General features: G+C 37.8%; 1 long non-coding RNA gene across 1 annotated transcript in view; it reads left to right on the top strand.

The window, feature by feature from the left end:
* Positions 1-3875: 3875 nt before the first annotated feature.
* LOC101927078 (uncharacterized) overlaps positions 3876-27762 on the top strand; it is a 325996-nt gene continuing 302109 nt past the window's right edge. The window contains exon 1 of the long non-coding RNA NR_130785.1: positions 3876-3954. This is a non-coding gene — a long non-coding RNA (uncharacterized LOC101927078). The remainder of the gene's footprint in view (positions 3955-27762) is intronic.

Genomic DNA, 27762 nt, shown 5'->3' with positions numbered 1-27762 from the left:
AGTGAACTAAGACAAAAAATTGGCACCAAGGAGTTGATTGTTGTTATAAAAATACCTGAAAATGTGGAAGTGGCTTTGGAACTGTGGGTAATGAGCAGAGGGAGAATTTAGAGGGTTCAGAGGAAGACAGGAAGATGAGGAAAAGTTTAAAATTTATTATATATTGGTTAAGTGGTTATGATTAAAATGCTGATAAAAATGTAGACGGTGAAGGCCATGCTGACAAGGTCTCATATAAAAGTGAGGAAGTTATCGGGAACTGGAGCAAAAGTCACCCTTGTTATGCTCTAACAAGACTTGTCTGCATTATGCCCATGCCCTAGGGCTTTGTGGAAGGCTGAACTTAAGAGTGATGATGTAGGGTATCTGCCAGAAGATATTTCGCAGCAGCATAGCTTTCAAGACCTGACATGACTGCTTTTAATAGCTTATGATCAGATATGACAGCAAGGGAATTACCTAAAGGTGGGCTTTTTAATTAAAAAGGAAGCAGAGCATAAAAATTTGGAAAATTTGCAGCCTGACCATGTGGTAGACAAAGGAAGAGCATTTTTGAGAGAGAAATACAAGGGTGCTTGGAGCAACCACTTGCTAGGGAGATTAGCATGGCAAAGGGGAGCCAGGTGCTAATAGTCAAGACAACAGTGATAAGGCCCTGAAGCCATTTTAGAAATATTTAATGCTGCCTGTCCCATCACAGGCCCAGAGACCTGAGAAAATAGAATGGTTTCAGGGGACAGGCCGAGGTGCTGCTATCCTGTGCCAACTCAAGATGCCGCTTCTTTTATCCTCACTGCTCTGCCTCCAGACACAGCTCAATGGTTCACAGGTACTTTTCTGGCCACCACTTTGGAGGGCACAAGCCATAGGTATTACAAACTTCCACATGCTGTTAAGTCCGCAGGCTCTTAGAATGCAAGAGTAATGGAAGTTTGGCAGCTTTCACCTAGTATTTTAGAGAATGTATCAGAAAGCCTGGGTGCCCAGGCAGAGGTCTGGTGCAGGGTGGAGCCATTGCAGATTGCCTCTACTAGGGCAGTGCCTAGTGGAACTCTGAGAATAGGGCCTCAATGTAATAAAGGCCATATATGACAAGCCCACAGCTAACATCACACTAAATGTCACCATTGGTGGGAAAGCTTTTCATCTAAGATCAAAAACAAAACGAGGGTGCCTCCTCTTGCTACTACTATTTGATATAATGCTGGAAATCCTAGCCACAGAAATTTGGCAATTAGGCAAGAAAAGTAGCAAAAATGCATCTAAATTAAAAAAGAAGAAATAAAACTGTCTGTTTTCAGATGGCATGATCTTATATAATTAATGTTAAACATCACTAGTCAGCAAATTAAAACCACAGTGAAATATCACCTTATACCTGTTACAATGGTCATTATTAAAAAGACAAAAGATAAATATTTGGGGGAGGATGTAAAGAAAAGGGAATCCTTGTACACTGTTGGTGGGGATGTGAATTGGTATAGCTGTTACGGAAAACAGCATGGAGGTTTCAAAAAAGTTAAAAATAGAACTGTCATATAATTCATCAATCCCACTTATGGGTATATATCCCAAGGGTATACATCCCAAGGGAAATTGGTATCTCTAAGAGGTATCTGCATTCCCATGTTCACTGCAGCATTATTCACAATAGCTAAGATATGGAGTCAAGTTAAGTTTCCATTGATGGACAAATGTGTAAAGAAAATGTGAGATACACACACCCACTGACATACTATGGAATATTATTCTTCCTTAAAAAGCAAGGGAATTCTGACAGATGCTACAACGTGGATGAACCAAAGGACATTATGCTAAGTGAAATAAGCAGAAACATTAAATTCTTACATGAGGAATCTAGAAACGTTAAACTCATAGAAGCAGAAAGTAGAATGGTGGCTACCAGGGCCTGAGGACTGGGGGAAATGGGGAAATGTTGGCCAAAAGATATCATGTTTCAGTTGAATAAGATGAATAAGTTCTGGAGGTCTAATGTATAGTGTGGTGACTATAGTTAATGATACTACATTGTATATTTGACATTTGCAAAAGGAGTAGACATTAAATGCTCTCATTCTCTCCACAGAAAACATGGTAACTCTGTGAGGTGCTAGATATCTTAATTAGCTCGATAGGGGTAATTATTTTATAAAGTACATATATAATATATATCAAAATATCACATTGTATACCTTAAATATATACAGTTTAAAAATGTATGTATACAATTTTTATTTGTCAATTATACTTCAATACAACTGGAAAAAAATAAACCAAGGATATTGTGTCCTAATTCCAGAACTCCAATTAATAAAGAGTGGGGTTTCGGTTGAATATTGCATTTTAAAATGTTTCCTGTGATTCATCATGTGTTATAGCACGGAAGAGTCTCAACCTACAAGACACTTGGCATATATCGGCTTTTGGGAAGTCTGTTTTCTTAGTGGTTATATTTAGCAACTTTGAGAGCCTGGCAATTTTAGTTTTGAGAATTTACTTTTGTATAATTTGGGTAGTTTTTCTCCTAGGATTAGAAAAAAGAGCATTTTATTTTGCTTTTACAAAATTACATGAATTAATGAATCTGAAGTTTCTTGTGAAAATTTAATGGGGGTTGGCACCATGATTGTTCATGAAAAAGATGGGAAATGCAGTATAGTGAACTCAAATGACATAGTACTCCCATTTTAATGTTCACAGAGACATAACTCCAATAATTTTTATTTTGTTATTCACAGATTTTACTTTCCCTTGGTGTAACTCCGGCATTCTAAGAAAAGCCACTTATGTTAAAGGTGACATTGCTTTCTCTTTTGGAACATGCACTTGGCAACGAATTCGTTAGCCAGACAGGTGTTTGTGTCACTGTCAAATTGCAATTGCTAATTTTTTTTGTTTCTCCCTATGGGAATAACGCAAGCTATTAGATGTTAATAAGCAGCAACTAACTTTCTATAACCTTTTCTAAGTTTAGGGGTCTGAAAGAAACCACAAATATTATTTCAAGAGTTCCTTACTATTGTGTTCTCTCTACAAATTTAAAATGTCATGAGACCACAGGTAGCCTGAGATGAATATGCTTAGGATACTGGTTGAAACCCTTTATTAAAAGTTTAACCAATGCAAGAGGTACTTGGGAGCCTCTCATCAGAAGGAAAACATCAAATAACACATGAAGGAGTTGATTGTTGTTGTATAACTGTATAAAGTGTTGGGAAGAAAAAAGGTAAGAGGGCTAAATTAGCAAGAAAATTGGAGAAGTTTGTATACAAGTAAAAACGACATGGATGGAGGCTGAAACAATGGAGGTAGAGGGATATGTTAGAACTTGGCATTGTTAGGCTAGTTATCCAGACAAAACAAAAACAAAATCAAAGATGTCTCCAAGGTTAAGACATTAGGGAACAAAGTGGAAATACCAGCCACTATAGGGAAGAAAAGAAAAGGAATAATTAGGGAATAAGCTATTTCTCACTTTAAATGGCAGCAAAACATTGGAGCGGAAAACCTGGACAGCTGGAGCTGGCAAGAAGCCTCGTAATCATTCAGACTGCTCATCCCAGAGATGAGGAGACTGGAGCACATACATTTCAATGAATTGCCTAGTCAGTGACACTTCTGGAACTACTATCTATATCTCTTGGGTTGTGTTTTATACCAAGTTGCCTTGTCAATGCCTTATAGACAATGAATGAAACAGAAGGGATATACTAGTGTTGTGGGTACCCCTGGAGCTAGAAGTCAGGATTCAGGATTATACTTACAGGGTGGAGAACCAAGGTTTGAGTATGAAGCGGAGTTCTGGAACTTCTCCTTTGTAACCTGGTGTATAACTATGGAGACATAATGGAAAGGACATTCAGGAAAGACCACTTAGCCAAAAGTTCCAACAGCAGTATTGTGCAACTGCAGGATGTTAGATGTGTGGGAGTTCCTGGGGAGCTCAAGCCAGAGGTGGGATGCACAAGTTCTGGGGCTAATCTTGAGGGTGTTTCATGTAGTTGTAATATACCTAAAAATTTTAAAGTGATCCTCTGGGAAGCCCAAGTATGGCTAATATGGGCCATACTTATGATTGGGCCAGATGTTTCAGTTGCCTTTGTCATCCTGACTAGAAATTTAGAAATTAGCTTGGTTAACTTGGCAACTTCCAGTGAACCCTCACATAATAATAGAGAAGTCTCTGGGGCCTTAGTTCTGTCAGCTGGTCAGAAGCCAAGCTTGGCTATTTTGAGAGTTTGATGGCCTCTCAGGGAGAAGAAGTAGGGATGATGACTGTCATTAATAGTCAATGACTCCAAGGGTTGATCTTGACTCTTTAGGACTATATTGGACAATCTTTCCCTATTCTGAGTTTCCCTGAGTTTCAGAACATCTCTGATTTGGTTCAGCTGTGTCTCCATGCAAATCTAATCTCGAATTGTAGCTCCTATAATTCCCTTGTGTTGTGGGAGGAACCCAGTGGGAGATAATTGCATCATGGGGGCAGTTTCCCCCATGCTGTTCTTGTAGCAGTGAATAAGCCTCACAAGATCTGATGGTTTAATAAGGGGAAGCCCCTTTCACTTGGCTGTCATTATTCTCTTGTCTGCCACCATGTAAGATGTGCTTTTCACCTTCTGCCATGATTGTAAGGCCCTGCTCAGCCACGTGGAACTGTAAGTACATTAAACCTCTTTCTTTTGTAAATTGCGCAGTCTATCAGCAGTAGGAAAACAGACTAATACAATCTCCTAGGGCCTCATAGAAAACCTTCTTTGTGAGCTATGTTTGACGGGGAGCTTCCAGCTCTGCTTAGCAGTTCTCAACAAGCTTTTCTGGGCTGGACCATCATGTCATTTGCCAGCCTCTTAACTAGAGAAGTCATCTGAAACTGGCTTATAAATGCACAGATTAGTAACATATTAGGGTTGGTTTCAGAGGGCTTGTTAAAAAAATAATTTCAGTGGCAGTATGCCTAGTAGGTAAGTGCACTCAGACTTGACTTTGGCCCTACTAGTTTTGTGATCTTGGGCAAATTGTTTAGCCCTTTTGAATTTCAATTTCTTCACCTGTAAAATGGACATAATAAAAATATTTATCTCATTGAGATTTGAGGATAATTGTGATCATGTATATGAGGTGCTTAACACTGGATAAACTCACTGGGAAGAATTTATTAAGAATTCACTAAATTAAATGTTATTATTTTTCTAACTTCTGGTAAGTTAAGGGCCTGGGCTGCATTTGAAGAATCCCTCAAAATTTTCAGTCCTGGAGTGCTGTGCATCTTTGACCAGCAACCTGGTTAAAATGTCATGAGACCACAGGTAGCCTGAGATGAAGCTCTTAAAACGTAGCAGGAAAAATATCCCCAGGCCTAAAGGAAACCCACTGATTCAAGTCTCCATGAATTCAGAAGGAAGAAAGAACAGGAAAGCAAGAGGTGAACTTAGCACCAGTTCCAAAGAAATAGGGTCTGTGAGTCGCTGTGAGGCTCTAAACCCTGGAATTAACTGGTCCCAAACATTGCATTACCAGGAATCTCAAGGACGAGATCTTTGGGTCTGGGCACTAATAGGAACAAAAGTATTTGGATGTCTAGGGGAGAGAGAAGTTTAGAAAATAGTCAAGCTTAAGTGGCCCAGAGATAAGAGGAAGGGACAATGCCAAGTGTTCTTAGGCAGTGAAGATAGTGGGCTTCAATAAAGGATAGGAAGAGGAAGCTTTGCTTATTGGGGAAACCCAGGAGCCAGGGCCCTGACATTTTAAGAAATCACTGAAAGCCAATTCCTGATATAGTCTGGGTAGTGTTTCTGGAGACATGGACCACTGTGGGATAAAGGCTGGGGTATTATTCCAAACTGCCAGGCCTGGTTGGTGGGACTGGTGATGCAGCACAGGGGAAGACCTGAAAGTTCTCGGAGATTCTGAACACAGAGAGCGTTCTTGCTGACCATGGACGTGTTAAGAATAACAACAGTGTCCTCAACAAAATACTAGCAAACTGAATTCAACAATACATTAAAAGATCATTCATTATGACCAAGTAAGATTTATCCCAAGGATGCAAGGATGGCTCAACATATACAAATCAATCAATGTGATACATCATATCAACAGAATGAAGGACAAAAACCGTACGATCATTTCAATTGGTTCTGAAAAAACATTTAATGAAATTCAACATTGCTTCATGATAAAAACCCTCAAAGAACTGGATATAGAAGGAACAAACCTCCACAACGCAAAAGGTATATACAACAGACTCACAGCTAGTGCCATACCAAGTTGGGAAAACCTGAAATCCTTTTCTCTAAAACCTGGAACAAGACAAGGAGGGCACTTTCACCATTGCTAATCAAAATAGTACTGGAAATCCTAGCTAGAGCAATCAGACAAGAGAAAGTTATAAAGGGCATCCAAATTGGAAATAAAGAAATCAATTATCCTGGCTTTCAGATGATGTAATCTTATATTTGGAAAAACCTAAAGACTCCACCAAAAAGCTATTAGGACTGATCAACACATTCAGGAAAGTTGCAGGATACAAAATCAACATACAATAATCAGTAGCATTTCTATATGCCAACACTGAACAATGTGAAAAAGAAATTTAAAAGTCCCATTTACAATAGCCACAAATAAAATTAAACGCCTAGGATTTAACCTAATCAAAGAAGTCAAAGATCTCTACAAAGAAAACTATAAAACACTGATGAAAGAAATTCAAGAGGATACAAAAAATGGAAGCATATTCCATGTTCATGGTTTGGAAGAATCAATATTGTTAAAATGTCTATCGTTAAAATGTCTATGCCACCCAAAGCAATCTACAGAATCAATGTGATCCCTACCAAAATACCAATGAAATTCTTTACAGAAATAGAAAAACAATTCAAAAATTTATATGGAACCACAGAAATATCCAGAATGGTCAAAGCTATCCTGAGCAAAAAGAACAAACCCAGAGGAATCACATTACCTGACTTCAAATTATACCATAGAGCTACAGTAACCAAAACAGCATGGCACTGGCGTAATAAAAGACACATAGACCAATGGAATGGAGAAGAGAACCCACAAACAAATGCATGCATCAACAGTGAACTCATTTTCAACAAAGGTGACAAGAACATACATTGGGAAAAAGACAGTGTCTTCAATAAAGTGTGCTGGGAAAAATGGATATTATGCGGAAGAAACTAGACCCCTATTTCTTGCCATCTACAAAAATCAAAGTGGATTAAAGACATACATCTGAGACCTCAAACTATGAAACTTCTAAAAGAGAATATTGAGGAAAATCTCCAGGACTTTTGCCTGGGCAAAGATTTCTGGAGTAATACCACACAAGCACAGGCAACCAAATCAAACATGGACAAACAGGATCACATCAAGTTAAAAAGCTTCTGCACACACACACACACACACAAAATCAACAAAATGAAAAGACAACATACAGAATGGGAGAAAATATTTGCATACTACCTGTCTGACAAGGGATTAATACCAGAATATATAAGGAGCTCAAACAAATCTATAGCAAAAAATCTAATAATCTGATTAGATTGCTAATTAAAAATTAGCAAAGTATCTGAATAGACATTTCTCAAAAGAACAAATACAAATGGCAAACAGGCATAATGAAAAGGCGCTCAGCATCACTGATCATCAGAGAAATGCAAATCAAAACTACAAGGAGATATCATCTCACCCCAGCTAAAATGGCTTATATCCAAAAGACAGGCAATAAAAAATGCTGGCAAGGGTATGGAGAAAAGTGAATCCTCATACACTGTTGGAGGGAATATAAACTAGTACAACCACTATGGAGAACAGTTTGGAGATTCCTCAAAAAAAAATTGAGCTACCATGCGATTCAGCAATCCCACTGCTAGGTATGTACCCAAAAGAAAGGAAATCAGGTTATTGAAGAGATATCTGCCCTCCCATGTTTATTGCAGTACCATTCACAATAGACAAGATTTGGAAGCAACCTAAGTGTTCATCAACAGATGAATGGATAAAGAAAATGTGGTACATATGCACAATGAGGTACTATTCAGCCATAAAAAGAATGAGATCCTGTCATTTGATACAACATGGATGGAAGTGGAGGTCATTATGATAAGTGAAATAAGCCAGACACAGAAAGACAAACTCCACATGTTCTCACTTACTTGTGGGAGCTAAAAATTAAACAATAGAACTCATGGAGATGGAGAGTAGAAAGATGGTTACCAGAGGCTGGGAAGGGTAGTGAGGGGGTTGGTAGGGAGAAAAGGGGGTGGTTAGTGGGTACAAAAATAGGAAAAATGAGTAAGACCTAGTATTTCATAGCACAACAGGGTGACTAAAATCTATAATAATTTAATTGTACATATAACATTTACTAAAGTGGTATAATTGGATTTTTTTGTAACACAAAAGATAAATGCTTGAGGGAATAGATACCCCATTTTCCATGAAGTGATTATTACACATTGCGTGCCTGTATCAAAGTATCTCATGTACCCCATAAATATATACACCTACTATGTAATTACACAAAATTAAAACTTTTTTTAAAAAAAGCAATAGCAACAGTGATCCACAACAGTGTCTTCCATTTGCCTGGAACTTTGCTGCTTTATTTTGAGGATTAAAAAATATATGATTACTTTACCTTAGAGCACCAGAGTTGGGTTTTTTCCCCCTAAAAGGAATTGTAGTGTATTAAATGCTTTGCTAATGGCTTGAGGAGCGGAAGACCAGGCCTCAAATGTATTAGTTTTAAAGAGACAACAAAGAACCGAGCTATTTTATATCAACCGACATAGATTTTGGGTGGTGGGAAAGATGAATGATGAGCTAGCTGTACTGGGGAGAGAGGACAGCAATAAGGTTAAACACCGTATTGTAGGAGCCTAATGCCTGCCTTGGTAAATATGGCCCAGAAAATGTCATAGTATGGTACCTAATATTCAGCCTTAAATTTTTTTGTGTGTGTTGTAATATCTATTATTTTCTTTAAACTTTTAATAAAGTTTGCTAATCACTCAATGGCCTTGGTGAATGTGACCGAGTGTATGTGCAAGTTCGTGGGGGGCATGATCTGAGTCATGTGGCTGGGTTATGTGGTGACAAAACCCTTTCAGCCAGCTTTGTGTACTGTCTGGAGAATGAGTAGGGGGAAGAGAAAAGGAGCTCAGAATGGTTTGCCTCTTAGATATTTCATTTGTTCACCAAGTTAAGGTAGGAAAAAAAAGTATTTTAAAAATGTTTAACATTTCTTTCAATACAAATTTATTTTACAGAATTTTTTACAACGGCCAGTTTTCTCAGATACTTAATTATGGTTTCCTATTATAAAACAGAAACTCAATTGAGGGAGACCTTCAGCAATCACTGTCAATAGATGGGACAGGCTGACATCTGTGTCTACTGTTGGGCATCTGAGAGCTCATTAACAGTCTCTGCCCAGAGATCACAATTACCCACATGCTATTATCATTTATATAGTCCAGAAGCAAATTATTTTACATCTTTAATTCCCCAGGGATTGTTATACAAAGTGGTACCAAATCATCAGTAAAATGGTTTCAGATCTTTTTACTTTATTTTATTTTTTTTGCAGGGGTAGGGGAAGCTTGGCTTTCCACATTAATCATTTCCTTATATCTTCCAGTGCATATTGTCTTAACCTTCCTTGAGTTCCAGGTACCACTTTCACATGCCAGCCTTTCCAAATCTCTGTGTGGTCAAACAAAGCCTTCCCTTCCTCCTCATTTGTACTCCATTTGTGATCCACTCCTGTTTTCCACTTTAATGAGATTGTTAATGATATTTACACCACTGCTGCTATGAAAAATAGTGAGAGCTTCCACATCAGCTCATGCATCCTTATATATATTTTTCCAGTTAAAAAAGCTTTTCATGCTAGCAGACAAATACATTTACCTTAAAAATCTAAACTATATAAAGTTTGAGTATATAATTTCCTTTTTAATCTTCTTTCATTTGTAGCTATAACACATTTTTCTTTCACTGGCTACTTATATTTTTATTTCTTAAACACCAAATTCCAAATACAATGCTTGAAGAACAATGTGCCCATAAATTATTAGGTGTCCTTTTCTTTAGATCTCTTTGTTCTAATTTTCTTTTCATTAAAATTCTGACAATTTTCAGTGATATCAAACTATTTAGCTTTTAATATTAATGATCTTTGAATATAAGAGACAGTCAAAGCAACTCTCACTAATAAATTTGCTTCCTTAAAAATATTTTTGGGGCAAAGCCAAGATGGCCGACTAGAAACAGTCATGTCTGGAGGCTCCCATTGGAAAAAAGCATAATACACATGTGAATCCTTCACTGGCAACCAAGGTACCCAGGTTCGCTCATCAGAACTGCTAGGAGGCTAATGTGACCCACGGAGAGAAGGAAGAACAGTGTGGTGTGGTGACCTACCTGAGAGTCACATGGGGAAGGAGATCCCCGCCCCCATCCCCAGCCAAGGGAAGTGGTGAGTGTGCTACTCAGCCAGGGAAACCGTGCTTTCTCAACGGAATGATGCAACCCATGAATTGGAAGATCCCACTTGCAAACTCATGCCACCAGGGCCTATCCTCCCAACCCCGGAATGTGCAGACTCTTCACAGTCTCTCAGCTGGAATCTGCTTAAGCCCACCAAACTCCCAAGGGGAGGGGGGACCAGCACTACAGTAGCTGTGACCTGCTGTTTAAGTTGTTTGAGCTCCTTGAAGGAAGGGCAGCAGCCAACACTGGGACTACCTAACACACTAAGCTCCCTGGGTTGGGGGAGGGCAGCACTCATCTCTAAAGCTACAGGCTTTGTTTTCCCTTGCTGGAGCCAGGAAGGTTGAACAAGGCTTGGTCCCAAGACTTGTCCTCCATGGCCCAACACACTAGCTGTGGCAGTCTGCAGCCAGAGTGTGTCTTCAGGCCTGATCCTGACCCATCCTTCCTCACCAGACAGGGCTTCCCTACAGGAACTCCAATACCTCCAGCCAAAGGCTGAGGGACAGAACCCGGATACCCCTGGGCCTGAGGTCCTAGCGAAAGAGGTGGCCGCAGTCTCTGTGGACCAGCAGACTTAGCCTTTCCTCCTGATAGTTCTGAGGAATATGGGCAGCCCAGATGAATGGGTTTCCCCCCAGTGGGGCACACCCCTTCCACCAAGGGACAAAGTGCTTCATTAAATGGGTCTGTTCCCCATGCCACCCAACTGGGTGAGACCCTCCAACAGGGCTTGTAGACACCCTATATAGAAGCAATCCTACTGGCTTCAGGTTGGTGTCTTTTGAGGTCAGAGGTCCCAGAAGAAGGAGCAGGCACCCATCTTTGCTGTTCTCCAGCCTCCATGAGTGACATCTCCAGGTGCAGGAGTGAATCAGATGAATAAGCCCTGAAGTAAAGCCCCAGAAAACTGCAGCAGCACTACAGAAGAGAGACCTGATCATTTAAAGAAAAGCAGACAAGCAGAAAGCAACAACCACAGCATCAACAACAACAACAAAAACCCCCCACAAAAACCCCATCCAAGGGTGAGCAGCCTCAAAGACCAAAACTAGACAAACTCACGAAGATGAGAAAGAATCAATGAAAAAATGCTGAAAACCAAAAAGGCCAGGGTGCCTTTTCTCTTCCAAATGATCACAACGTCTCTCCATCGAGGACACAGAACTGGACAGAGGATGAGATGGATGAATTAATAGAAGTAGGCTCCAAAAGATGGGTAATAAAAAACTATGCTGAGCTAAAGGAGCAAATTCTAACCCAATGTAAAGAAGCAAAGAACCTTGATAAAAGATTAGAGCAATTGCTAACTAGAATAACCAGTTTAGAGAGGAACATAGATGACCTGATGGAACTGAAAAACAGTGCGAGAACTTCTTGAATCATACACAAGTATTAATAGCCAAATTGACCAAGCAGAAGAAAGGATATCAGAGTTTGAAGACAACCTCACTGAAATAAGACATTCAGACAAGAATAGAGAAAAAAGAATGAAAAGGAATGAACAAAGCCTCCAAGAAATATGGGACTTCATAAAAAGACTGAGCCTATGATTGATTGGAGTGCCAGAAGGAGACAGGGAGAATGGAAACAAGCTGGAAAACACACTTCAGAATATTATCCAGGAGAACTTCCCCAACCTAGCAAGACAGGCCAACATGCAAATTCAGGAAATACAGAGAACACCATTAAGATATTCCATGAGAAGATCAACCCCAAGACACAAGCATCAGATTCTCCAAAGTTGAAATGAAGGAAAAACTGTTAAAGTCAGCCAGAGAGAAAGGTCAGGTCACCTACAAAGGGAAGCCCATCAGACGAAGAGTGGACCCCTCAGCAGAAACTCTACAAGCCACAAGAGATTGGGGGTTAATATTCAACATTCTTAAAGAAAAAAATTTTCAACCCGAATTTCATATCCAGCCAAACTAAGCTTCATAAGCGAAGGAGAAATAAAATCCTTTCCAGACAAGCAAATGATAAGGGATTTCATTACCACCAGGCCTGCCCTCCCAGACCTCCTAAAAGAAGCACTAAATATGGAAAGGAAAAACCAGTACCAGCCACTGCAAAAACACATCAAAATATACAGACCAATGGCATTATGAAGATACTGCATCAACTAGTATGCAAAATAACCAAATAGGATCATAATGACAGGATCGAATTCACATAAAACAATACTAACTTTAAATACAAATGGGCTAACTGCCCCAATTAAAAGACACAGACTGGCAAATTGGATAAAGAGTCAAGACCCATCGGTGTGCTGTATTCAGGTGACCCACCTCATGTGTGAAGACACACACAGACTCAAAGGGAAGAAGGAAAATTTACCAAGCAAAGGGAAAGCAGAGAAAAGCAGGGTTTGCAATCCTAGTCTCAGACAAAACAGAGTTTAAACCAACAAAGATCAAAAGAGACAAAGAATGGCATTACATACTGGTAAAGGAAACAATTCAACAGAAGAGCTCCCTATTCTAAATGTATATGTACCCAATACAGGAGCACCCAGATTCATCAAACAAGTTCTTAGAGACCTACAAGGAGACTTAGACTCCCACACAATAATATTGGGAGATTTTAACACCCCACTGTCAGTATTAGACAGATCAATGAGACAGAAAATTAATGAGGATATTTAGGACTTAAACTCAGCTCTGGATCAAATGGACCTAGTAGACGTCTACAGAACTCTCCACCCCAAATGAACAGAATATACATTCTTCTCAGTGCCACATGGCACTTATTATAAAATCAACCACATAATGGGAAGTAAAACACTCTGCAGCAAATGCAAAAAACTGAAATCATAATAGTCTCTCAGACCACAGTGCAATCAAATTAGAACTCAAGTTTAAGAAACTCACTCAAAACAACACAATTACGTGGAAATGGAACAACCTGCTTCTGAATGACTCCTGGGTAAATAATGAAATTAAGGCAAAAAATCAAGAAGTTCTTCAAAACCAATGAGAACTAAGAGACAATATACCAGAATCTCTGGGACATAGCTAAAGCAGTGTGTTAAGAGGGAAATTTATAGCACTAAATGCCCACATCAGAAAGATCTCAAATCAAAACCCTAACATCACAATTAAAAGAGCTAGAGAGGCAAGAAAGAACTAATCCAAAAGCTAGCCGAAGGCAAGAAATAACTAAGATCAGAGCAGAATTGAAGGAGATGGAGACACCAAAAACTCTCCAAAAAATCAATGAAGCCAGGAGCTGGTTTTCTGAAAAAAATTAACAAAATAGATAGATGGCTAGCTAGACTAATAAAGAAGAAAAGAGAGGAATCAAGTAGACAATAAATAATGATAATGGAGATATCATCACTGATCCCACAGAAATACAAACCACCATCAGAGAATACTATAAACACCTCTACGCAAATAAACTAGCAAATCTAGAAGAAATGCATAAATTCCTGGAAACATACACCCTCCCAAGACTAAACCAGGAAGAAGTCAAATCCCTGAATAGACCAATAACAAGTTCTGAAATTGAGGCAGTAATAAGTACCCTACCAACCAAAAAAATTACAGGACCAGACGGATTCACAGCTGAAGTCAACAAGAAATACAAAGAGGAGCTGATACCATTCCTTCTGAAACTATTCCAAACAATTGAAAAGGAGGGAATCCTCCCTAACTCATTTTATGAAGCCAGCAACATCCTGATACCAAAACCAGGAAGAGACACAGCAAAAAAAGAAAACTTCAGGCCAATATCTCTGATGAACATCAATGCAAACATCCTCAATAAAATACTGGGAAACTGAATCCAGCAGCACAACAAAAAACATATCCACCATGATCAAGTCAGCTTCATTCCTGGGATGCAAGTCTGGTTCAACATATGCAAATCAATAAATGTAATCCATCACATAAAAAGAACCAAAGACAAAAACCACATGACTATCTCAATAAATACAGAAAAGGCCTTTGATAAAATTCAACATCCCTTCATGTTAAAAACTCACAATAAACTAAGTATTGATGAAACATATCTCAAAATAATGAGAGCTATTTATACAAACCCACAGCCAATATCATATAGAATGGGCAAACGCTGAGAGCATTCCCTTTGAAAACTGGTACAAGAAAAGGATGCCCTCTCTCACTACTCCTATTCAACATAGTATGGGAAGTTCTGGCCAGGGCAATCATGCAAGAGAAAGAAAGAAAGGGTATTCAAATAGGAAGAGAGGAAGTCAAGTTGTCTCTGTTTGCTGACAACATGATTTTATAGTTAGAAAACCCCATCATCTCAGCTCCAAAACTCCTTAAACTGATAACCTCAGCCAAGTCTCTGGGTACAAAATCAACGTGGAAAAATCACAAACATTCCTTTACACCAACAATAGGCCAGCAGAGATCCAAATCATGAATGAACTCCCATTCACAATTGCTACAAAGAGAATAAAATACCTAGCACTGTGGCTAACAAGGGATGTGAAGGACCTCTTCAAGAAGAACTACAAACCACTGCTCAAGGAAATAGAGGACACAAACATATGGAAAAACTTTCCATCCTTATGGATAGGAAGAATCAATATCGTGAAAATGGCCATACTGCCCAAAGTCATTTATAGATTCAATGCTATTCCCATCACACCACCATTGACATTCTTCACTGACTTAGAAAAAAACTATTTTAAATTTCATATGGAATCAAAGAAGACCCCGTATAACCAAGACAATCCTAAGCAAAAAGAACAAAGCTGAAGGCATCATGCTACCTGACTTCAAACTATAGTGTAAGGCTATAGTAACCAAAACAGCATGGTACTGGTACCAAAACAGACATATAGACCAATGGAGCAGAACAGAGACCTCAGAAATAACACCACACATATGCAACTATCTGATCTTCAACAAACCTGACAGAAACAAGCAATGAGGAAATGTTCTCCTATTCAGTAAATGGTGCTGGGAAAACTGGCTAGTCATATACAGAAAACAGAAACTGGACACCTTCCTTACACCTTCTATGAAAATTAACTCAAGATGGATTAAAGACTTAAATGTAAAACCCAAAACCATATAAACTCTAGAAGAAAACCTAGGCAGTACCATTCAGGATAGGCATGGGCAAAGACTTCATGACAAAATGCCAAAAGCAATTGCAACAAAAGCCAAAGTTGACAAATGGAATCTAATTAAAGAGCTTCTGCACAGAAAAATAAACTGTCATCAGAATGAACAGGCAACCTACAGAATGGAAGAAAATTTTTGCAATCTACCCATCTGACAAAGGTCTAATATCCAGAAATTGCAAGGAACTTAAACAAGTTTACAAGAAAAAAACAAAACAACCCCATCAAAAATTTAGCAAAGTATATGAACAGACACCTCTCAAAAAAATACATGTATGCAACCAACAAACATATGAAAAATAGCTCAACATCACTGATCATCAAAGAAATGAAAATCCGCAATGCAAAACCGCAATGAGATACCATCTCATGGCAGTCAGAATCGTGATTATTAAAAAGTCAGGTAACGATGCTGACTAGGCTGTGGAGAAACAGCCTGGTTTACACTGTTGGTGGGAATGTAAATTGGTTCAACCATTGTGGAAGACAGTATGGCTATTCCTCAAGGATCTAGAACTAGAAATGCCATTTGACCCAGCAATCCCATTACTGGGTATATACCAAAAGCATATAAATCATTCTACTATAAATACACATGCACACGTATGTTTACTGCAGCACTATTTACAATAGCAAAGACATGGAACCAACCCAAGTGCCCATCAATGATAGACTGGATAAAGAAAATGTGGTATATATATACACCATGGACTACTATGCAGCCATAAAAAAAATGAGATCATGTCCTTTGCAGGGACATGGATGAAGCTGGAAGCCATAATCCTCAGCAAACTAACACAGAAACCAAAACCAAATACCACATGTTTTCACTCATAAATGAGAGTTGAACAATCAGAACTCACGGTCACAGAAAGAGGAACAACACACAATCAGGGCCTGTTGTGGGGTGGGGGTGAGGGGAGGGAACTTAGAGGATGGGTCAATAGGTGCAGCAAACCACCATGGCACAAACCGGCACGTTCTGCACATGTATCCCTTTTTTTTTTAAGAGTAAATAAAAAACTTATTGTCTCATCAATATCAAAGGATATTAGAGACTTTTACAATGACTGTGACAATAAATGGCATAGAAGGTAAAAATTATTTTTAATTTCCTTCTTATATAATATGTTCATATAATTTTGGAGAAGTTATTAAAATCTTAAAATTACACAATATTAACTTTTTTTCTAGGTTTAAGCTGAAATGTAGGCGAACCATACAAAAGTCATTGTTTTTGTTGTGTCTTTAGAGGACAGGGTGGCTGTCTTTTAAAAAGTATATATATCTCCTAGCATACTTTTATACAAAAACAGAAATTAAACCCTTCTAAACTTGAAAGGTAGATACATATTTACATTGTGATTTAGTTATCTTCTGTAATGAGGAAATGGATAATGCTGGCACCTGATCTTTTGTCAACAAGGTGATGCTTAGAGTTTAGAATAAGTTTCTTTTTGTCATTAGATTGTTATTATAAGTTATGTTAGGTTTATGGGTTTCATTTATGCAATAAATATTCATTGAGTAATTACCTTGTGACAGACATTATTCTAGGTACTTGGGATACATCAGTGAACAAAATACACTACAGTTCTTACTCTCATGAGACTTATGTTCTAGTGCGTATGTGTATGGGGGGGATAGTGAGAGAACAGCAAAGAATAAACATGATAATTGTATATTTATATTATGTTTAAAAGGTGAGGGTGTTAAAAATAGAACATGGTAAAGGGGGGACTGGGATACAGGCAAGGGAGGAACTTCCCCAGGGTTATGGAGAGCCTAGAGTGAAAAAAACAGGTCATGGAACTTTTAAATCCAAAGTCTGTGGTATTTTGTGAAGTAAAGTCTTAACTTTGTTTAAGAGCTGAGATATGATGGTTCCAGCTTTTTAAAAATTCTCACATTGTTGAATGTGCCATATTGTTGGAAATGCATTTATTCTAAGTCAATAAAGACAGAGCAATAATATATTAAGATTCAGGGATTTTCTAAAATTGCTCTTAAATGCTATGTGCAACTGCTTCCTTGCTCTGCCAAGGACAAAAAGTCAAGGCAGACCTTCATCTTGACGACTGTCTGGTCTATTTGGGGTAGACAGAAGATGGAGAATGGATGTCAGAAGTGAGGGGTGTTGAGCAGGCCTATTCCTAATATTTTGGGGGCTTCTCCCATAAACACGGGGACAAGAGCACAAATGGAGGCTGCAACCCATACCCTTTTCTTCCCATCCTCCTCTCCTTTCTGCACTGCGAAGGGTTTCATGTGTATGTGTGTGGACTGCTCAGACTACTTGTCAGGCTCTGTTCAGTTCCTTCTCCATCAAACAGCTGCCCCTTGGCCACCTCTCAAGAGGATAGACCTAAGATAGTGGCCTGTGCACAAGTGGGTTGAAGTCATGGGGTAGGAAATTCTCCCAGGTATATCCTGAGTGTGATCTAGAAAGGGCCTGTGGGCTGGGAGTGGACACATCTCCTTGGCTGTAGGTTCTTTAGTGAGTGTGATAGGCAGGGCCAGAGAAGGGTCAGAGCAGGAATCTCTAAGCATGGGCCCCTGGCAAGAGTCCCAGTTGTACAGGGTTTAAGGGCTGTGCTCTGTCAGAGGTGGAGGATGGACAGGGACAACTGAGAGAGCCAGTAGGAAATGCGGATGGAGCTATCAACTCTATATTGGCTAAAGTTTAATCTATCAAGATCGCTAGTCCTGAAGAATATCAAGTTTCATTTTACTGCTAAACCTAAGAAGAAAAAATAATTAACTGTAACCAATAATGATATAATTCATGTTTTAGAATGATTTCCAAGAGGTCTTTAAAGTGAAAGATATTTTTAAAACATTTTATTTATCACCTTTTTGAAGGATTATGTGATCCCAGTACAAAATTCAAAGGATATAAAAGATGCTGATATGGTTAGGCCAAATCTCATCTTGAATTGTAATCCCCAGGTGTGTAGGGAGATACCTGGTGGGAAGTGATTGGATTATGGGGGAAGATTTCCTCATGCTGTTCTTGTGATACTGAGTGAATTCTCATAAGATCTGATGGTTTTCTAAATGGTAATTTTTCCTACACCAACACATATGCTGTCTCTCGCCTGTCACCATGATTGTAAGTTTCCTGAGGCTTCCCTAGCCATGTGGAACTGTGAGTCCATTAAATCTCTTTCCTTTATAAATTACCCAGTCTTAGATATGTTTCTATAACAGTGCAAGAATGGACTAATAAAGGTGCTCAGTGAAAAATAAGTCATCTTTTCTTATTTTAAAATAAGAAAATTTACTCATTTAAAAATAACTTTTACCCCAGCCATACAATTCTCATTTCTAGAGACAACCACCATTCCAGTTTTGTGTGTCTGTACAGAGGCAGTTTTATGTATTTACCACTTAAATAATACCTAGCATTGTTAGATCCTTTAATTTTAAACTTAGTATTACTTGGAGGTTATCCCATACTGTATCGGTATGTTTAGAGTTTATATAGAAAATGATATTTTTTGCCTTCTGTTCTGTACTTCTCCTGATAGTTCAAAGCTGACCTGTATGTAAAGATATAAAAAAGAAGATTCCACAGTCTTTCTTGAAAAAACCTATGAAACTTTGCTATTGCATTTTTAAAATTTATTTTTCAAGTACTGCCTTTTGATGATCTAATATAAAATTTAAGAGTTAAACATACAAGTTCATCTCATTTAGAACCATTTTTAGGTTCAATTTCCAGTTCAATTGTAGTTTTCACAAAGTAGATGAAATGCATAGGCAATCAAACATAAAAACCAAGTGGATTTATTCCATCGAGACTTGTGAAATAGCAGGTTATTCCATCAAAATTTCCCAAACATCATTGATGATAAGAATCATCTGGGGTACTTGGGAAATTAAGTTTCCCAGGCTTTTCCCTGCCTAGGGAATCTCACTGAATGAGTCTGAAGTGTGGCCTGGAGATTTGTAGTTGTAACAAGTATATTTAAAATTATTCTGTTAGTTATCCATTACCTCAAATTAGTGTGTCCTTATTATGTTCTAGCCTCAGAGGGTTTACAGAACATCACTTCTGCCGTACTCCATTTGTTGGGGTAGTAACCCACCCTCTCCCCAATTTAAGCGAAGAAAACATAAATCCCACCAATTTGTGGGAGGAGTGTCAGTCACATTGCAAGAAGAGTATGTGGGATAAACACATAGATGTGGCTGTCTGTGGAAAATACTGTCTCAGTCCACTCCATGGCCACAACAATTCACATTCCTTCCACATGTAGAATATACTAATCCCATCCCCTGGGCCCTCAAGTCTCACAACAGCAGGCTCAGAACTGGGGGCTAGAGGGTGGGCGGTGGTAGCCAGACTCAAGATTGCCTTCCCCAATGAGCTTCACTTTCTGGTGTTTTTGCCTTTGTGTCATCTCCCACATTAAATCCGGGCTGACCCATTTGACCAAAAGAGCACAGCAGAACTGACAGTGTGTGACTTCTAATGGCAGGCTATAAAAGGCATTGCAGCTTCTGCTAGGTCTCTTGTTGCTTGCTCTGGGGGAACCTAGCTACCACGTCATGAGGATACACAATGGCTCTGAGGAGAGGCCCACATGGAGAGGAACTGAGGCTTGCTGATGACAATCAGCACTACCTTGCCAGCCATGTGAATGAGCCACATTGGAAGTAGGTCCTCTCCCCAAAACTGGTCTTCTAACGACTACAGCCCCAGTGGATGTCTCACTACAACTCTTTGAGAGACTGAGCCAGACCTGCCAGACATGCCTCTTCTAAATTATTTTCCCTGAAGTAACTAAATTTTGAGATGACTTATTTCACAGCATTTCACAACTAATATATAGCTCTCCAGGTAATTCTCATTTTACTAGTTATGTAGATAGGGTTCCAAGCATGGCAAGGAAGTACAAAAGAGCCTTGTTGGTGGAACACCTCTCATCATTATAAACAATCTTGTTAGAGGTGGACTGTGACCACCAAACATGGGAAGTACGGATTCTGCTTCTCATTTTTGAGATATAGCATGGGACAGGATGCAGCTTTGCCCCGGAAATAAATAGGGAAGCTTTAGCCACATTTTTAAGTGTTGTGGAAAAAACAATTCTGGACCCCAGGTCTTTCAGGAAGAAAACTTCACAAGGGGTGAGTTCATCCTCAAATTTTGATTTGTGTTTGCATGCTTCTTGGCATTTGAGTTTGTATGCTTCTTTTAGCCATTAGTTTGTCTAGTTATCTAGATATTATCAATCTCTATCACATTTAAAAAATAAAATGGGGATGACATTATACATATTCTATTATTTTTTAAAGTAAAGAGCATATTTCTCCATTACTAAATATCCTTTTATAATGTTTTAAAACCTTGGCAGGTGTTAGCCCTGGGTCGCTTCAAGAATAGAAATGTAGAACACCATGTTTAACTCTGTTACTCCTGAGATTAGGTTCCCTGTAAATGATAGTTTCCACCCTCATAGATTTTTTTTCTGCAGGCTGCATGCCAGTTAGTAATTATTCTCCTGGTAGAAAGTCTACCGGGCTGACTCAGCTTTTTATGTCCCTACTATCTGCCAGGAAGCAGGGTTCTAAGTGTGTTTTTGAAGGAATAGAAGCAATCTTCCAGTGAGAGAGTTTATAGTGATATCAACCAAGGAATATATTGTTGATATTGTAAGTTACCAAGGTTTTAAAATATCAAACAATCCTTAAATATTCTATGATTTTTTTCTTTGGAAAAAGAAAACCAAAATGTTGGGTATTATATTTTCCTATGGTAGATTTGTGGAATAAATATAAAAAGTTTATCTAGAGTTAATGGGAAAACTGAAGAAGTGGAATTGAAAACTCAAGAGTAAACTAAATATACCTCTTGCATTGACCAATGGCCATTGTCTCCTTTTTAATCTGCAGCCTTTGTGCTCCTATCTACAGCCTAAATGTCACTCTTTTAGTGACAAAATAGTGAGTATTCAGCTGTGTGAGATACTGGAGGGCCCAAAGCCCTTTGAAATATACTCTGCTATCAAGGGGTTTGTAGAAGAAATAGAGACACATAAATATCTATGATACAAGCTCCTAGGTAATACAAGTGACAAATGAACACTTAAGTAGCCAAAGAAGAGACTGCTTAAGAGCTGTTTTTTAAATACTAGCTAAGAGTTTTCCAAGTTGTGAAGATAATACACATTTACTATAGAAAATTAAACTAATACAAGTAAATACATAGAAGAAAATTTATTATTTCACCACACAGAAATAACCATTGTTAAAAGATTAGTGTATATTCTTTTAATCTCTATATGTCTGGTTATCTAGATATTATCAATCTATCACATTTAAAAAATAAAACAGAGATTACATAACACATATTCTATTAGTTTTTAATATAAAGAACATATTTCTCCATTACTAAATATCCCTCTATAACATTTTTTAGTAATTGCATATTTTATTATTAAATATCCCATTACTGAACATTTAGACTATTTCCAGTTTCCCATTATAGAATGTGGTAATATAAACATCCTTTAAGCCAACTTTTTGTTCACATCCATTATTATTTCCTTAGTGTAAAATTCTAAATGTAAAATATTAGAATAAAAGGGCATGTAAAATTTTAGTGCTGGTTGATTATTGCTTTCTAAAAAACTGTACCAGTTACATTTTCATTAAGGATTTATATAATTTTGATAGTGGGGAGGGAAGACATTCCAGCCACAGAGAGTGGTATGAGAAATGGATTGAAAAAAGAGTCCAGGAAGATTGGCTGGAGCACATTCTGCACAGTGGCAGGGGACATAAAAGGGAAGTTTGCTGAAGGCTAGACTGACAAAGTTGGACTTTTTAAAACTTTTTTCAGCAGGCAATTGATAATCACTGAAGTTTTAGAAGAAAATAGTGACAGGATTAAAATACATCTTTCAAGACATTATTCTTTAAACATGTAAAGTGATATTGTCAGAAAGACCATTTGGGAGGTCAAACTTCAGTAATGGCAGAGAATAGAACATTTTCTAAAGATAGAAAATAAATGATGGATATGTGAGACATTTGCAGTTTGAGAAAGGAGGTAGTGTGAAAGATCACCATGGGTTTTGGAAACTGATTGAAATTATACTAACATTAAATGCATTAGAAGGAGCCACTGGGTTATAAAGATTAGAATAAAAAGTTGCTGGAGGAAGAAAAAGATGATAATTTCTGTTTTGGATATATTGTATTTAGCGTGTTGGTAGTCAATCCAGGTAGAGATATCCGGCAGACCACTGGAAAATACTGGACTGTAACTCAGGAGAAAGTTCCAAACCAGAGAAATAAATACTTTAGGCATAATCTTCTTAGAGGTTTTGTTGTTGTTGAGGCTGTTAGATTGATAAGATCTGAGGAAGTGATGGTAACAAAGAGTATTCAGCTCAGTAGTAATTATTAAATAAATGTAAAGAAATTTCCAGAGGTTGAGGGGAAATACTACCCGTTAGATCTATCAGTGTACAGTGTTCACATGGGATGGGGATAGTACCATTGGATAAAGTATAGAGAAAGGTCTTGCCACACTGTAGGAATGAATTAGCCCTTATAGTTAGCATTGCTCTGTTTCTGCCTAATAAATCCTAAAAGCAAAATCTGAAAGCATCAAACTGTATCCTTGTAGCTTAGCTGCGTTCAGTTCAAGCACATTTATAAAAATACAAAAATATCCAGCATCTAATAGGGTAAAATTTACAATATCTTGAATCAAATAAAAGTTGAGTCATTGCAAACAATTAGGAAATACAACCCATAATGAGAAGATGAACTCATATTTGAAATTGTCCCCAAACTGATAGAGATGTTAGAAATATCAGACAAGGACATTAAAATAGTTTTTGCTTAAAACATTAGGTAGAGACATGGAAAGCATAATAAAGACTCAAACTGAACTTCCAAAGGTGAAAACTACAATGAGGAATAAAAAATACTTTGCCTGGGAATAATTTCAGAATAGACATTGCAGAAGAAAAGATTAATGAACTTGAAGATATGAAAAAAGAAACGATCTAAAATGGAACACAAAGGGAAAAGAGAATAAACAAAACTGAACAGAATGTCAATAAATAGTGAGATAATGACAACTTCAAGCTGCTTAATATAAATAAAGTCTCCAAAGGAGAGAAGAAAGGGATGGCTGTATAAAAAATATTTGAAGAAATATTGGCCAACACTTTCCCAAATTTTATGACAATTGAGTTCTAAGAAGCTCAATAAAACTCAAGCCAATAAACATAAAGAAAAAAACAAGAGAAAGCACAAACTTTAAGATTATATTTCCTAAAGAGTAATACCAGAGTAAAATAAAACCTTATTTTACCTTTACCATTCTTAAAGAGGTCAATTTATCAAGAAGAGATAATTATCCTATTATTACACAAATTGCTCAAAACCAGCGATAAAGAGAAAATCTTAATACTATCCGGAAGAAAAAAGACATTACATACAGAGGGACAAAGATAAAATTACAGCAAATTTCTTACAGGGAGCAATGCAAGCAAGAAGACATGAAGGCTTTTTTTTTTTTTTTTTAAAGTTCACAGAGAAAGCCAGTGATGAAGAATTCTATATCCAGTGAAAATATCTTTCAAAACTGAAGGCAAAATAGTTTTTAAAATATGCAGAAGCTCATAGAATTTATCCAGCAGACTTGTAAAGTGAATGCAGTCTTTAAACAGAAGGAAAATAACGCTGCTTGGAAATAAGACTCTACACAAAGAAATAAAGAGCCCAGAAATGGTGACCACATGGTAAATATATAAGATCTTTTTTTAACTACTTAAATCTTTTAAAATGATAGTAGACTATGGAATTTTTAACATATATAAAGTAAAATTTATAATAAAAATAGCAAAATGTGAGGGGAAAAATAGAAGTATACTGATGTAAACTTCCTATACTAAATAGGAAGCAGTATAAGATAACTTGTAGTTGTATTCTATAAACCCTAAAGCAACCCTGAAGTTAGCCAAGAAAGGAATAACTATAGGATTATAAAACTACTCAATTAATTTAAAATAAACAGAAAAGTGGAAAAAGGAAACAAAGCAAAAATTGAACAAATGAAAATCAAATAGCAAAATTATGGATTTAAACTGTATCAATAATCACATTAAGTGTAAATGATCTAAATAACCCAATGAAAAGGCAATTATTGCCAGACTGGACAAAAATCAAGACCCAAACTATATCTTGCCTGTAAGAAACACATTTGAAATGAAAAGAAACCAACAGGTTAAAAGTAAAGGATGGAGAAAGCTTTTCATGCTAACAATAATCAAAAGAAAGCTGGAGTGGTTATGCTAATATCAGACAAAGTAGATTTTAGAGCAAAGAATATTACCATGGTCAAATAAGGTTATTTCTTAAAGTTCAATATGATATTATTTAAAGACTAATACCAGGGTAAAAGAAAGTCCTTTTTTAAGGATAAAGAGGTCAATTTATCAAGAAGAGATAATTATCCTAACTTACCTGGTTTAAACAATGAGGACACATTATCTTACATGACAGAAAATGCAGAAGTCTCTGGCTCCAGGGTTAGCTAGCTCAACAGCTCAAAGATGTCATCAGGGACACAGGTTATTTCCACATTTCTGCTCTGCCATAGCCAGGATGTCAACCTGGTCTTCAAACTGGCCTCCCTCATGAATACAAGATGGAATCACATCCACAACTACAGTGGAAGAAAAGGAATCTCTTTTTTTTCCCCAGTTGTTCCCCAGCAGACTTTTCTTTAAATATCATTTATTAATACTGGGTTACTTGTCCACCTGTAAAGAAAGCAAACACTGGCAATGGGAATTGTATTGTTATGACTGGCATAGAGCAGCAGTCATCAAACATTTTCTGTGAAGGTCCAGATGGTCTCTGGTGTAACCACAGTAAGTCCTCACTTCATGTCATTGATGAGATCTTGGAAACTGCAACTTTAAAACAAAGTATAAAGAAGCCAATTTTACCTTGGGCTAATTGATATAAACAAGAGGTAAGTTCCTGTGGCTTGCAGTATGTTGTTTTGCTTGAAGTCAACAACAACGTTTAGTGAGGATGTCCTATACTCGATTTTGGGATCGTTGCACAAAAACATACATAAATAGTACATAAATGAATTTTTTTATTTACAAAAATAGACATGGACTGGATTTGGTGTGTGAACCATCATTTGCTGACGCATGACTCAGACTTATCAGCTGAAGTGGAGACAGGGCCACCTTCCCTGAGGGTTGTACAGACACTTAAACAAAATTTGAATGCTCTAAGCAAGGAGGTTGAAAGGAATGGCTGTTGGGTAAGCAACCAGTAGTATCTGTCACATACTGTTTCTCTGTATCTCCCACAGTACCTAGCAGTTATTAAATATTGGTTGAAGGTATGGTGAATGACATATGCAGTTATATGGTGAATTAGCACCTTTGCAAGACAGCCCTAAGCTTTGGTAGTTTGAAGCTCAGGGAATTGTTTTTACTAGTTCTTGACTTTTTGCCTTAGGGCCTTGCAAACCCTTGAGATAAGATTTATTCTCCAAGGTCTTGCAGGATACAACATGGGTAAGCTTAAAAGGAAGTAAGTGAGGGAGAGAGCTCACAGTGCCAAAGGGACACCCCTGCTTCCCCAGGATGACATCCTTGCCTCCCTCTGGTCTCTTACATCAAAGTTTCCCAGCAGCAGCAGCAACACAAATAATACATTAAAAGGGAAAAGATCAAGCATGGAACTACATGGCTGAAAGGCTGAATTATGATCTTAGGAAGAAAGAGAAAGGGAAGTGCCCCCTCCTTTTAATCTTTGAGTTATATTTCTTCTTACCTTGGTTAGTGAATACAGTTCTGTTATTTCTGCAAATGCCTTCTTTCTGAACTGTATGTGTACATGCTGTGGAAATATGTGGGTACACCAACTAGGATGATTCATTTCCTAAAAGTACCCAGCAATTGGGGGAATCATATCACCACATTACAGGTTCAGGGCACCCCTTACTGCAGTGAGCCAGGAGTTATCATATTCATGACCCCTTTTTTGTTCAACCAGCCAGGATCCTAGGAAATCCTGAGGCAGAAGGATACCTTTCTCAAGAAATGACAAATCATTAGTTTTCAAGTAATTTTACTAGGATGAATTCTAGGAAAGGAAACCTCAGGGTTGATTGTAAAAATTGTTGTACAAGTAAGGCTTTTTAGGAGTGTTGCCTTTACTTTTAGCAGAAACAGAGAATGAGAGTTTTCAAACGTCGAAGATGCAGAGTCCAGCTCTATGCCACTTTACCCTCAGTGTAAAGATATTTGTAGAAAGATGCAGTTAAGAAGTGGGGAACACAGTGGCCTCTTGGCTCAGATCGTCTCGGGGTTCAAATCTTGACTCTTATTGACTAGCTGAATGACCTTGGTCGGGTTGATTAAACTCTCTAAGCCTCTGTTTATTTTTAAAATGGGCATGATAATAGCCTCTTAGAATTGCTAGGATTAAAAAAATCTGTCTATATAAAATGCTTAACATAGATCATTCATCATTGAAAAGGATAGGGCAGTGATTGAAATGCTAGAAAGAGATATGGGACCCTCATTCTTTTGTAATAGGGGTATGGAAAGCCAGAAATGGTGCTCTAGTGGTTATATCTTCTTCTTGTTCTGCACCCACCCCACCCCGACTCTTAGTTGGCTTCCAGGGGACATGGCATTATCTATACAGAGAAAAAAATACAGGAGAGTATTTCCTGGGAAGCCTAGCTCAGAAAATAAACAATGGTATGAGCCACTTGCCTCCATTTGGCCCACTTCTTGATGAGGTCAATTGAACTAGGATTCCAAGGATAGCAAAGGTAGGCTCCCACTTCTGGCCATCTCAGCTGAGGCTCTTTGTGTTAGGCTGTAAAAGATTTTGTTTATTTTTCCATTCTGTCTTCTCAAAGTTGCATCAGCTCGGGAAAAGCAGATATTCCTGAATCTGTTTTAACCTAGTGTAAACATTGTGTTTTTCTCAGACAATGATAGGAAATATGAGCCACTCTGGGAGAAATTCAGAAGAATAGTAAAAACACGATTGTGAAATATTTTATAGAACATTAAATCCTATGAATATGATAAATAATAAGTATTCATATTCTACTTTACTGTCTTTTAATTCTAACATATCTACTCAGA

The sequence above is a fragment of the Homo sapiens genome, chromosome 5 (genome assembly GCF_000001405.40).
Source record: "Homo sapiens chromosome 5, GRCh38.p14 Primary Assembly".
In the NCBI taxonomy this organism is placed as follows: domain Eukaryota; kingdom Metazoa; phylum Chordata; class Mammalia; order Primates; family Hominidae; genus Homo; species Homo sapiens.
Note: the sequence above shows the minus strand (reverse complement) of the source record. Positions and strands in the feature narration are given on the sequence as shown.